The sequence below is a fragment of the Homo sapiens genome, chromosome 8 (genome assembly GCF_000001405.40).
Source record: "Homo sapiens chromosome 8, GRCh38.p14 Primary Assembly".
NCBI lineage: Eukaryota > Metazoa > Chordata > Mammalia > Primates > Hominidae > Homo > Homo sapiens.
The window spans coordinates 120,624,753-120,638,894 of NC_000008.11; the positions used below are offsets into that span (position 1 = coordinate 120,624,753).

Genomic DNA, 14,142 nt, shown 5'->3' on the forward strand with positions numbered 1-14,142 from the left:
CATACTGAGGCAAATTCCCTCCAGCTGTGAGTCTGTGAAATCAAAACAAGTTATCTACTTCTGAAATACAATGATAGGACAGGCATAGGATAGACATTCCTGTTCCAAAAGGGAGAAATAGGCAAGAAGAAAGGGGTACCTGGTCCCAGTTAAGTCCAAAACACAAAAGGGAAAACAACATTAAGACTTAATGACGGAGAATGATCTCCTTTGACTCCATGTCTCAAATCCTAGGCACAGTGGGACAGACATGGGGCCTCTAGTGCCTGAGGCAGCCCTGCTGTCTGCGTGTGAACTAACAGGAAGTGGGCTGAAGTCATCCTTTTTCTCAGGACCCCACTTCTGAAATAACTAATCCATTCCTGCGATAATGGCGTTAATCCATTCATGAAGGCAAAGCTCTCAAGACCTCATCACCTCTTAAAGGTCCCAACTCTGTTGCATTAAGGACTAAGTTTCCAACACATGAACACTGGGGGACACGTTCAAACCATAGCACCATGTGGCCAGGCACAGGGGGCTTTCTATCTCAAGTTCTATGGTTCTCTCCAAAGAGATTGAAGCAGGCCCATATGAAGTTGTATGAATCAGCCTACAAGAAATAAAATGTACACACCCCCCTGTCTTACATGGGCAGCTCTGATGTTTCCACTTTGGTGAGAACAATTCACTTTACTAAATTCAATTTACTAAATTCAGATGACTGTGAAGGCATGCAGAAAAGTGGGCATATTTCATACTGCCTCTGCCACCCACCTACTCACTCATCCCAATTTAAAATCTCTGATGTTTCATTTGAGAGAATAGATGATGGAGGCAATCTGAATGAAATTCATACTGGCACATTTAGTTTAAACACTTGTAGCAAAAGACTAATGGGAAGATTCCCAAGCTGCTGCCAGATTTTTTTCTTAGTCTTGCTCCATCTCAGAGGTGATTCACTCAGGAACTTGATGACTCTCTTTTAAAGCAACACAATAGGACTATTAGCACTTAATTGCATTAACAGCCTGTGTTTTCTACCATAACCAATAGTCTTGATTTAGGGATGATGCAAGCCAGGGTAGCTTGGACAGTAGTTCTATTTCTATCTCTTATCAGATGGGAGTTCCCTCAGGTCAGAGACTATTTTCTCCCTGGAAGAAGCAGTGAGAAATTCTGACTTAGGTAATTTTTTTAAGGCAGATGGTGGGGCTGATATATTTAGAGGCTCCAAAAATATCATTCTGTTAATTACACTGTCAAGATCTTGATTATAGCAGCCTGTTTTACTAGGGCCAGGGCTATTTTACATTCACACTGAGATTCTTCTAATGTAGGTGGGCAATGTAGCTAGAGAATGAAATCACTTGGTTGGTTCTAGTTACCTAGAATTGGGGGGGATGAGTAAATTGCTATTGTTGGAACTGAAAATTAATGGTGATCTAACAAATTATGTAAGAATATAGACTATAGTATGTATATATATATAGAGAGAGAGAGATCAATATAGTCACATAGATAAATAGGTAATTAGATAGGGATGAATAGATAGATACAGGGAGGTAGACAGATTGAGAAATCTCTCAGTTCTGCCTTTGCACAGTAGTGCTGGGTAATAAAAATGACTGTGAAAGCTGAAACCACACTAAGCAATCTTAATCAGTTGGAAAAATTAGGATCATTACATGACCTTTAAAATTTTTTATCAAAATGTTAAAAACTGCCTTACTGTCAATTATATATGCATAGGGAGATGAAAAATAGAGTAAATGTTTATTTAGTAATCTCTAATTTAAAACATTAGAAGAATTGAGGATTAAAGTGAAGAGTAGTTTGAATAGACCTTTTTGTCTTCTCCTCATCTAACTTATAATATAGAACAAGCTTTTTTTTTTAATGCTTTGACAAATTGTCATCATCCTTTCTAAGTTTGGATCAGCTAGCAACATTTTATCCTTTGCACTTTCAATGATGTGAGCTATCTTTGAGAGTTTCTTTAATGTGAAGTTTTCACAAGTGTCACCTCCTCTGGGGCATCTTCATCCTTCATCACAGCTACAGTCTTCACTTACAGGTTATAAGTTTACCTTCCCTAAGTTCTTCTGGTTGCTATCTTGAACAGTATCAGTGTGAACATTTCTAAGGGCAGCTATTTCTGCTATCATTCCATTTATGTTTGATGCAAATTTCATTTCCAGCATTACCACTTTTTGTACCTTTGCTGCACTGTCATCTTTGTGGGACAACTGCCTCTTTCTAGGATCCATTCTTGTGAAGTGTCATATGGATTTGTCACTGGGAGACAGGGAGGAAAGGGAGTTATCTCCTTTGCTGTCTGTGTGTGAACTGATTAACAGAGGTGCCATGGCCAATCACCCATAGATTTTGAAAGAAGCGATGTGATTGGTCACCAGTCAGGATGTACATCTGCTAATTACATGGTGGGATTTGTGAACTGAAGACTTAGCAATGAGGTCTGTACTTATGAAATTACTCACAGTTACTATGCCTTGGTAGCAGAAATTTGAACCGTTTTGTTGAGAGACTGGCGTATCTAATTAAATAATGATAACTGAAATTCATGGATATGTGTGTGTGTGTATGGGTATATACAAATTGCCTTCCCCTAATCTGCCCTATGAAATGTGATTGCAGTCTCTGTAGGACCTGTTCTTTGAAATTTTATAGTACAAAATTAGGAAGGAAGAGAAGGGAGGAGGATTACTCTGTGGAAGATAAAAGAAGGAACCTAACCAGAGAGGTTCAGCTGATTGACATAGTCAAGAATGGAAGAGAAGGACAGAAAGGAGAGAATGTCTTCTTGTTTTTCTTCTTTTAGAGTCATGAGAAGAATGGAAGCAGTTGAAGATATAGGATGGATATGGATAGGAGAGATGAGAAGATCTTGGTAAGTGTTGCCCGGCCTAGGTATACAAATTTCCCTTATTTTCATAATTTTAAAGGATTTGAATTACCTTGGTATGTCTCTTAGCTCTGAAGCTGTGCTTTTGGTCTGCGATACTGCTCTAGATGGGATTGTTGGAGGCATTACTCATAAGGACAGATGTTTCCTGGGCCCGTTTATTATCTCAGCTTAGTGGAAAGTGCTGGACTTTGGAGTTAGAAAGAGAAGCTCAAATTCTAAATCTACCACATACTAGAGGAGAGATCTTAGAAAAGTGACTCAAATACTACAAGTTTACCTCATTGGATTTGGATTATTTGAAGCATATTGCTCACAATAAGTATGAATTACCAACTTCCTTTTCTCCAGTAACACCATGGGGAGGCACAACTACATAAACGTTCCCATTTGAAAGAATACGAAATGGAAATGAATAAAGCTGATACCTGAACTTGCATCTCAGAGCTCCCAACTGGGCTTTTGTTTTGCTGTGTTGTGTTTTTGTGTATTTAATCTACAAGAAATAGTTTGCAAACCGAGATAACAAGGGAAAGCAAAGGGAATGCCTGATGAACTGAGCACAAAATATAACTCAACAATTCTGCTGTGTCCCTGTTTATTACTGTTTTTCTAAGTAGCAAGAGAGCTAGAACTTAGCTTGTTTTTCTCTTATCTGAAACGTAATGATAACTGTAAAAGGATTAGATGAACTAAGAAATAAAGATTGGGAAAAATGTGTTTGGGGCATGACACATTTTACAATTCACAGGAGTTAGTATTTATGGGTCATCTTGGGCCAGATGGGGGCTTGCAAGGAGTTAAAAGATGTGAGGCTGGCTGGGCATGGTGGCTCACGCCTGTAATCCCAGGACTTTGGGAGGCCGACGTGGCCAGATCACCTGAGGTCAGGAGTTCGAGACCATCCTGGCCAACAGAGCAAAACCCCATCTCTTCTAAAACTACAAAAATTAGCTGGGTGTGGTGGCATGCGCCTGTAATTTCAGCTACTTGGGAGGCTGAGGTAGGAGAATTGCTTGAATCCGGAGGCAGAGGTTGCAGTGAGCCAACATCACACCACTGCACTCCAGCCTGGGAGACAGAGCGAGACTCCATCTCAAAGAAAAAAAAAAGAAAGAGTTGAGGCTAATATGGTCATGGGAAAGGCTTTACATTGATGTGCATGACCCATCTACAGGTGACAGTGCTCACAGAGGAAAGCAGATTGTCCATAATTGATAGCCAGGTGCAGTGGCACACACTTGTAGTCCCAGTTACTTGGGAGGCTGAGGCAGGAGGATTGCTTGAGTCCAGGAGTTCCAGCCTGGGCAACATAGTGAGACCCTGTCTATTAAAAAAATAATCTTCCACAATCAAGTTCCAGTCGAGGTGTCAGGTCCGCTTGTCACTTTTCTCCAGGATGAACTCTCGCTTCACTTTAGATCAGTCTCTGGTCTTCCCCTGACTCCCCCAACAAGCTGTACTGACACAGGCCTTCCTTCTTTCTCCTCTCTTGGAGTGCAGGGAAATTTCTCCAGTCACTCAAATCCCTGTCATTTCTCAGAAGCCATTCTTCAAGTCTCCTGACTATCTCATGAAGAAAAATAATGTTAATATTAAACTTTCCTCCTGTGTAGTGTTGAGGAGGTTTTAGGATTTGCACTAAATGGAATTTTAAAAAGGAAGTTGTTGTTTCATATTGTTTGAGTTCATATAAATGCCGCTTTTAAAAATTTGAAATTAAATTAAATATAATCTGTACAACCTTGTCACAGAGTGACTGTGACAAATTTACAAAATCAAAATATAACAATATAGGAAAAGACAAAGAACATCAATTTAAGATCAATTACAGCTAGATATATACAGGGTCACATTTTATGTCTTTACAAATACCAAGCAAATTCATGATATTTGTGATACTATAAGAAAGGCATCGTATTAAGGATTTGCCATTCATTATAACATTTTGCTAAAAACCATTCATATATCTGCACACCAGGATTCAGTATTAAATATTTATTCAAAAAAATCTAGTTTGGATTTGTTCCCTTAAACTTGATCTATGGTAATCTTCTGAGAAGTGTGAAAATGAAGGCAATAAAAGACATTCTTGCTTCTCATAATTATCCATGATCATTATTGCTCTTACAGATTCTCTGCATAATACCCTTAAGGAGACCTCTGGAACGATGATCTGAAATTACACCATAAGAACAATCATATGCTAAAAACAGGAAGAGCTTTATATGCACATTTATTGCTGTTCCATGAGAATGTCTAATAATATGTCTGCTAATAATTTGGGATAAGCAAAAGGCATGAGACAAATTATAGGTGAGAAAGAGTAACTTTTGGAAGATTTTTTAATTTCATGAATAGTGGTAATGATTTTAAACATAGCTTGTGATTGAAGAGATGAGAGAAAAGTACCTTCAAGAATTAAGACCATCAACTTGGTAGATGCAGGGTTGCATGTGTTGGCCAGCCTCCCTTTGCCCCTTCAGATCCAGTCTCTACCTTTCCCATCCTTCTCTGTACCCTGGAAGACTCACTTTAAGAGTGCATCCGTGGGGCTTCTTACCTCTGGCTTCCAGCCAGCTTCAGCCCGTGGAAGACACTAGCAGGGGGTCAGTGGGCAGGGGTTGGCAGGGGCTGCATTTCTCTTCCAAAGACCACAGCTGGTAGTGGGTGGCACTTTTCTACAGCTACAAGCCTCCCTAGTCTCAGGTAACTGCTGCTTCTCCTTGCCCTTTCTGGTCAAGGGATGGTAGTGGCTTCTTACTACTGTTGGCCCTGGAGTTCTTCTCTATCTCTTATTGGTTTCCCAAACCTTGGCTATACCTTATAAATTATTCCTGCATTAAATCCTTTCCAATGATCCCTTTCGACCTTCCCATCCATCTCCTGCCAGGATCCTGAAATATGTGCTATACCTCCAAGTCCACTCAGAAACTTAACCAAGTGAGAGCATTTTTCATCCCAATCAGCTCCTTCTCTTCTACAGTAAATGTTTGCTTTTGCTTCCCTGGTATCCATTCATTCTTTTTCTTGCACAGCACCTGATTTTTTCCATTAGAGAACCACCCCTCCTCATCTTCACTGCAAATGACTTAGGTGAGGCTGATTTCAGCACTAAGACTGAACGGATTATCCAAGTTAACCCAATTAGACTTATAATCTCAGGACTTGCATTGAAACAATTGGGGCAAAGAGGCCTTTCTTCACTGAGACAACCAGGAGCAAAGAAAACATAAGCCTGGAACCCTCAGGCCAACTAGAGAGGAAGCCTGGTAATAAACTAATGAAAGGACAGGGAAAGAAAGAGATGGAGACTTAGACCTAATACATTATTTAAGTCCCTGGATCCCACCATGCCTGAAGCTTATCTTTGGACATTGCAGTTATCAGAACCCGGGCATGCTCATTTTGCTCAAGCTAAATTGAGTTGAGTTTTCTGCCACTTGTAATTGAAAGATCCTTGAGTATCAGGCCTTTTCCTAATAAAAACACATGCATTTGGAGAGAGTAGAAAGTGGGGAGTGATAGAGACGTGACTTTCAAAATTATATCAGCCATCCAGATTTATGCTCTTGTTTTCTTCAGGAACCCTAACACATAAACTCATGAGGGCTACGGGTGGTTTGTGTTTATTATGAATTTGGATGCTCCTACCACCAGCATTGTCCCTTTCGTTCTTTGAAATCTTTGAGAGATAGGACAATACCAAGCCCAACAACCCATTTGGTGTTAAATTTTTAGGCTAAGACCCGCGCATGATCTGCTGCAAACAAAGAACAATGGTGGAAAACCTGAGTATTATTTCGGGTGCCATTTGACTGGGCCTTCTCAGATGACAGGGTTCTTTGGCAGGAAAGGTGTTATTGTGACGTTCCCTATTCCCATTTACTGCCTATTAGAAAGTGAGTCACTGGGAGGTCAGATTATTCCCAAAGTCCAGTGTTCCTGAGCACTCCAGGTCAACTTCAAGGGACAGCAATCATGTGTAAGGACAATGGCAAAGGCTCGATCCTTTGAAATAGAGAGAAAGAGTAACTCCCAAGAGATGGCCACAGAGTGAGTTTTACTATCTTTAACATATCACATAACTTGGGAAAAAAAAATCAGGGACTGTGTTAATATGACCCAAAGTCTTTTCCACAGCAGCTGTCCTCTCTGAGACAGAGGCTAAGTCTTTATTATCTTTTCACTCCCTTCCCCACTCCTGCCTAGCACTGTGCCTCACAAAAGTAGGTGCTCTTTAATGATGACATTAAAGAGTGGCTGGCTTAAGAGCATAAATAAAATATAAGGTAACATAAGAAAAGAGCCAGCATATAGTAATTGCTCAAGTAATTCTTGCTGTTATTTGTAAATGTATAATTGAATCATCTCAATTCAAACAAACAGGCTCATCAAAACCCACACAAACCCTTTTTAAGCAATAATTTTGACTTCCTTGCCTCCCAAAGCAAGAGCTCTGTTCTGAGTTTGAGTTATTTTCCCTTCCCTTCATACATAGATGTTAAAATAGGATCAAACTATTCCTCGACTCACTCATTCATCCATCCAACAACCTGGACCCCGTGCAATTTGCCACATGTTTGACTAAGTGCAGGTAATCAAAGTTGATTAAGACAAAACCCATGTATAATGTAAAGGCCTGTAGCCTGCTGGAGAGGAATGAGAAATCCACACAGACTGTGAATGAGAGAATCAGCCTATGGGATGAGATAGTTTTAGTGGTTATGAGCGCTGGGGGAATCTCGGGGAGGACGACTATTACAGAGGAAGGTATTTTCCTTACCTTTTCTGCAAGCCAGCCAAGATGCCTAATCTCTCGGCTCCCAGCAATGCCTGTTTTCCCCAGCTGCTCTCTGACCTCAGCAATCACTCGGGTCAGCAGGTCATTAACGTTGGAATGGATGGCACTGAACCATGCCTGGGCCGTGGCTGAGTCCTTGCTCCTTAGGATCACCGTGTGCTTAGCATCTGGAGAGTGGATTTCAAGCTGCCTAGAGGAGCACAGAGAGAAGGGTTAGAAAGTTTCCTGGCAGGTCCTGCTTCGTCAAGATCTGGGTCACAAAGGTGAATTAATTCTTTACTCCTTCTTTTAGACTTTGTCAGTTTCTAACGGGATGCCTTAACAGTCCCGCCATCCATTCGTTCACTCATTAATTCATCCACGCATATTTACTGGGTTCCCAAGTACTGGTCTACATATTGGGAACACAGCTGTGCAACCACCAAATCACCTAAATTAAGGTTATCTGATTTTCTTGTTACTCAGCTGATTTGCTGATTAGTAGTATCATATGGAGACTTCCAAACTGTGAGCTGATACTAATTTGCTTTACTTCTTAATTCACAGAGGATTTTAATAATATACTCACACATCCTTGCTGCTGCTGGCAGGAAACAGATTGAAATATATCTAGCCACATGCTTAATCCTGCTGCTCAGTGTTAATCAATTAAGCCACATGCTTAATCCTGCTGCTCAGTGTTAATCAATTGAGAATATTTTAGAATCGAAGATGACCAAACTTTGCATCTTTTAGGAATTTTATCTGTAGCACATTTAGCTTCCACTTAATCCTCAAACCTGTGGTGTAAAGGCATGAATTGGCCTAGGAAGAGGTAACAATGGGGAGAGAGATGCACTAAATGTATTCTATTTAAAGTCCAGGCCCACCACGCTGGCTCATGACTGTAATCCCAGCACTTTGGAAGGCTGAGGTGGGCAGATCACCTGAGGTCAGGAGTTCAAGACCAGCCTAGCCAACATGGTGAAACCCCGTCTCTACAAAAATACAAAAATTAGCCGGGCATGATGGCGGGTGCCTGTAGCCCCAGCTACTTGGAAGGCTGAGACTGGAGAATTGCTTGAACCCGGGAGGCAGAAGTTGCAGTGAGCCGAGATCAAGCCATTGCACTCCAGCCTGGGTGACAGAGTAAGACTCGGTCTCAAATAAAATAAAATAAAATAAATTAAAATAAAAATAAAAGTCCAACACCAAAACTTAGGCCAGAACTGTAATTGGATTACTGGAGAAACAGAGAGAGAGAGATCTGTATACTGTAATTGTGGTAAAAGAAGGAAATTCTCAACAGATACTTTATGTCGTTAACTTCTTATTTTGAAGTAGTTGTAGATTAGCATGGAGTTGCACAAATAGTACAAAGAAGTCTGGGATGCCCTTCACCAGTTTCTCCCAATGGTTATATTTTACCTCCTATAGTACAGTATCAAAACTAGGAAACTGACATAGGTACAATGTGAATGTATAGTTCTATGCCATTTTTTTCACGTGTAGATTTGTATAAACCCCACTGCAATCACAATGCAGAACTACTCCATCACCACAAAGCAGAGATCTTTAATCTCCCCCGCAACTACCCCTTTTTAGTCATGTGTTCCCCCACACCCACCACTATCCCAAATCCCTAGGCAACAACTAACCTGTTCTCCGTATCTGTAAATTTTAGACAGATACTTTTTAATTGCATAAAGAAAAAAAACCCAATATTCATTCACGTATATATGCAATAAATATCATTTATTCATTCATGTTTACATTAGAAAGATACAGGGATTCGGAAATTCAAAGCTCAATAGAATTATCCATTTATTAACTTCCTTTCATCTCTTAATAATCATGATATTATTCACTGAGAATCTACTATGTGCCAGGCAAACTTTTAAATCATTTTATAGTATTACATATAATGCTTCTAATAGCCCTATGACTGATATTATTAACCCCCCTTAACAGAGGAAAAAATGGAACTTTGGAGAGAGAGAGAGGAAGAAGTAATTTACCCAAGGCCACACCGTTGGTGATGCTGGGATTCAAACCCATGTTAAATTGGCTCAAAAGCCTGTGAATTTAAATACTATACCACGATGCCTCTCCTTGAGATTGGACAATGTCTTATGGGGGGCACTCACTGTCTCCTGCAGTGATGTGAAGTGTAGTACTACTCATCATCAACAACTATGCCCAGTAATGTCCCACCTAGATCCTGAGTTTCAAAATAACAATTTTGCAGATGGCCTGAGAGTTAGAAGACCCAATGCAACTTGGCCTTGTTAACATTTGAAACCAAACTTTTACAGTGACTAAACCGTCTTACCACAAGCATTAAGTTGTAGAAGAGAGATGATTTGGAAAGTGAGATGTCACTAGGGGAACTTTAGCCATAATTAGTATTCATTTTTTTTTTTTTTTTTGAGACGGAGTCTCGCTCTGTCGCCCAGGCTGGAGTGCAGTGGTGCGACCTTGGCTCACTGCAAGCTCCGCCTCCCAGGTTCACGCCATTCTCCTGCCTCAGCCTCCCGAGTAGCTGGGACCACAGGCACCCGCCACCGCACCCAGCTAATTTTTTTGGTATTTTTAGTAGAGACGGGGTTTCTCCGTGTTAGCCAGAAAGTATTCTTTTTAAGGAATTTGCAAAGCCAGTCTCCCCAATAAGATACAAAAATTTTATGTGATGGAACAGGGAATTCTTTAGGTGACAACTGTCCTCGCGCAGAAGAAAAAAATCTCATGCCTCTTAGGCACTTTTCAAAAAAATGGGTAATAAATCTAAGGTGAGAGTTTCCATTCTCTCCCTAAGTTCTCACTCTTCAGTAAAGCTGCAGAGCAGAATACAAACTAGCATTCTCAAGAGCATTAATGAGAGCTCAACGTGTTTTTCTTCTATTTCTTGAAAACTTTATTTTTAATTGACAATGATGGTTATTAACTGGCTTTTCAAGTTATTCTGCCAATATTCATTATTCTAGGAATTTAAAACATACAAATACTTCATTTACAATATTTTCTTTTGAAGGCCTTTTTAAAAATTTTGACAAAGGTAACTTTATTAAAGCAAAGAACTGAAGATAATTTTAAAGAACTCTACCTCCACCATCTTTCCTAACTTCTATATTCATTGAGAAATTGTGCAAGATTAAGTTTACTTTTTTCCAGCACTGCTGTTTTGGCTTGTCTTGCTAGTTTCATCTTCATTTCTGATTCTGGTTCTAGAACTTCATGGTCACTTTCAGAGTCAGCCTCAGCAATGTGATGTCTCCTCTTCATCATAGTTGAAGCTATCACTTTTCTCTGTCCCCTGTTAGTCTTTTGTTGAGTAGATTTTGATGCCAGGGTTGCTTTTACATCCCTAAGAAGAGTCATATGTACTTCCTTATTCTTTTCATCTTCATTTTGAAAAATAGTTGTAGTCAAGCTGGCATCCTTTGCTGCTTCAGGCTGGTCACCAAATTCTTTATTTCCTTTTTGCTAACCGAATCTTGATTTTCTCCAAAGCTTTCAGATATGCCCTCTCCTTTACTTGCTCCAGAATCCCATTCAATAGAACCAGAAGATCTTTTGCAAGATGGCTACTGAGTTCTAAAGAACTCAAGGCTTTTTTTTTTATTATTTTAAAAAGGAATTTATTTCTTATAGTTATGAAGGCTGAGAAGTCCAGTGTTGAGGGGCTGAGTCTGGTGGGGTCCTTCTTGCTGATGCAGACTCTCTGCAGAGTTTCCAGGCAGCACAGGGCATCACATGGTGAGGGTGCTGGCTCAGCTTCCTCTTTCTTCTTCTTCTTTTTTTTTATTTTTTTATTATTATACTTTAAGTTTTAGGGTACATGTACACATTGTGCAGGTTAGTTACATATGTATACATGTGCCATGCTGGTGCGCTGCACCCACTAACTCGTCATCTAGCATTAGGTATATCTCCCGATGCTATCCCTCCCCCCTCCCCCCACCCCACAACAGTCCCCAGAGTGTGATGTTCCCCTTCCTGTGTCCATGTGATCTCATTGTTCAATTCCCACCTATGAGTGAGAATATGCGGTGTTTGGTTTTTTGTTCTTGCGATAGTTTACTGAGAATGATGATTTCCAATTTCATCCATGTCCCTACAAAGGACATGAACTCATCATTTTTTATGGCTGCATAGTATTCCATGGTGTATATGTGCCACATTTTCTTAATCCAGTCCATCATTGTTGGACATTTGGGTTGGTTCCAAGTCTTTGCTATTGTGAATAATGCCACAATAAACATACGTGTGCATGTGTCTTTATAGCAGCATGATTTATAATCCTTTGGGTATATACCCAGTAATGGGATGGCTGGGTCAAATGGTATTTCTAGTTCTAGATCCCTGAGGAATCGCCACACTGACTTCCACAATGGTTGAACTAGTTTACAGTCCCACCAACAGTGTAAAAGTAGAACTCAAGGCTTTTATAGAGACCCGAATTTCTGGTGAGCATGGACTTCTTAAGATCTCATTGCAAATTTTCATAGCCAAATTGTCATGTACTGTTAAGGCCTGATAATCTTAGGAATTCTTGGCCTGAGGATTTAATCTACTTGTTCTTGTCAAATCTATAAGTAACTGAACAACATTTCTGATATCAATTTCAGCTAAAGGAGAAGATGCAGGAGCATTGGCCAGTGTTTGCAGGCTTGGAAGAGAAACTTCTTTAAAGTATTCCTGATTAGTCCTGTTTGCATAAGCAAACATGGGGGAGAGCATGCCTAGGCAATGTCAAAGTCGAACATCCTCTTCAGTCACAGGATTCTACCATAACAAAATAAGATGGGAAAAAGTCTGCTGCTGACCAAAAGCCCAGAGAACATCAGCTTGGCTAGTCCTCCTGTGGCTCCTGTCCTAAGTGTAGATACCTCACTACCTAAGAAATCAGAAAGGAGTTTCAGAACATTCTTCGCTGTAAGGGCCTTTTCAACTTTTTATGACTGTTGCTCATAAATCACTGTTTATCTCTGTACCTTCATATTAAAAGGCTTTGATTTTTTAGGTTTAAGTGGTTCAACCTCAAACATTATCAGTTAGTCAAAGATTCACTTTAAAGTACTTATTTTTATTGTGACATCATCAATTTGCAAAACCTGCAATAATAACACAAAGTGTTATGTGCAAAATTCTGATTCTGTAGTCTGCAGCTCCCAAGCATAAAACAGCCAGGCTTCTTACTATAGGGTAAACATTTATTATTTTAGGAAGAATAAAAATTCTATGATCCCATTCATGGCTGCACTTATGCCTGTTGAAATGGACATCTGCTTCAACAGTTCACAGCATAAGATAAGACATTCTGTAATGTTTCTGCGTCATTCTTCTCTACATGGACTTCTTTGATTTCAAGTTGCTCTGTCTCTTGCAAAAGGTTTCTTTTGACATCTTCTAATACTCTTATTTCTTCTTTTAATTTTGATGCCGAGTTAAAATCCTGTAAGGTAATGTAATTTTCTAAAGCTTCTTTGGCTTCAATACGCTTAACTTTTATTTCAGCCATCTTGAGTCCTTCCTTTCTTGCATCAGCTGGGTCATTATTAACACCAACAGTAACAATGTATGCCCCAATCTCTGAGATAAATTCTGTTCTCTTATTATCATCTACAATAATGTGGGGCAGCCTTTCAATAAGAAAAGGAACCAGGGATATTGGGGTTTTGGGTAGAGTAGGAATCTCCTGTCAAATAGCCAGCATTTTTGTGTGTGTGTGTCTGGGTTACCAGACATCCCTTTTATCAATAAGAAAGGTTGGATTTTCATGGTTGGTGGATAGGCTGCCGCAAATCTGCCCTTTCCTACATCTTCAGTGTGGAAGAAGCGGGAAAACACAGTCTTCTCCACTCTCCCACTATCCGTCTCAGTGCCTCTCTGGACACTTCATACATCTTGATGGGTTAAGGCATGACTATGCTACAGAAAGAGGAATGAGTATTTTCTTTTTTTTTTCTTTTTTTATTATTATACTTCAAGTTCTAGGGTACATGTGCACAACATGCAGGTTTGTTACATGTGTATACATGTGCCATGTTGGTGTGCTGCACCCATTAACTCATCATTTACATTAGGTATATCTCCTAATGCTATCCCCTCCTCACTCCCCTCACCCCACGACAGGCCCCGGTGTGTGATGTTCCCCTTCCTGTGTCCAAGTGTTCTTATTGTTCAATTCCCACCTATGAGTGAGAACATGTGGTGTTTGGTTTTTTGTCCTTGTGATAGTTTGCTGAGAATGATGGTTTCCACTTCATTCATGTCCCTACAAAGGACATGAACTCATCTTTTTTATGGCTGCATAGTATTCCATGGTGTATATGTGCCACATTTTCTTTATCCAGTCTATCACTGATGGACATTTGGGTTGGTTCCAAGTCTTTGCTATTGTGAATAGTGCTGCAATAAACATACGTGTACATGTATCTTTATAGCAGCATGA

General features: G+C 40.0%; 1 protein-coding gene and 1 pseudogene across 4 annotated transcripts in view, besides 1 other annotated feature; both read right to left on the reverse strand.

The window, feature by feature from the left end:
- SNTB1 (syntrophin beta 1) overlaps positions 1–14,142 on the reverse strand; it is a 276,291-nt gene that overhangs the window by 88,997 nt on the left and 173,152 nt on the right. For all 4 annotated transcript variants that reach the window (NM_021021.4, XM_047422126.1, XM_047422127.1 and 1 more), the window contains exon 3: positions 7,692–7,899. In NM_021021.4, coding sequence (NP_066301.1) covers positions 7,692–7,899 — 208 coding nt within the window. The remainder of the gene's footprint in view (positions 1–7,691; positions 7,900–14,142) is intronic.
- Positions 694–1,223: an enhancer, noted in NCBI's record as "OCT4-NANOG hESC enhancer chr8:121637686-121638215 (GRCh37/hg19 assembly coordinates)". NCBI's record gives its function as "activates a minimal SCP1, AML or CMV promoter by ChIP-STARR-seq in naive H9 embryonic stem cells {active_cell/tissue: H9 hESC(naive)}" and the evidence as "EXISTENCE:reporter gene assay evidence [ECO:0000049][PMID:30033119]".
- Positions 10,732–13,408, reverse strand: NCAPGP1 (non-SMC condensin I complex subunit G pseudogene 1; annotated as a pseudogene).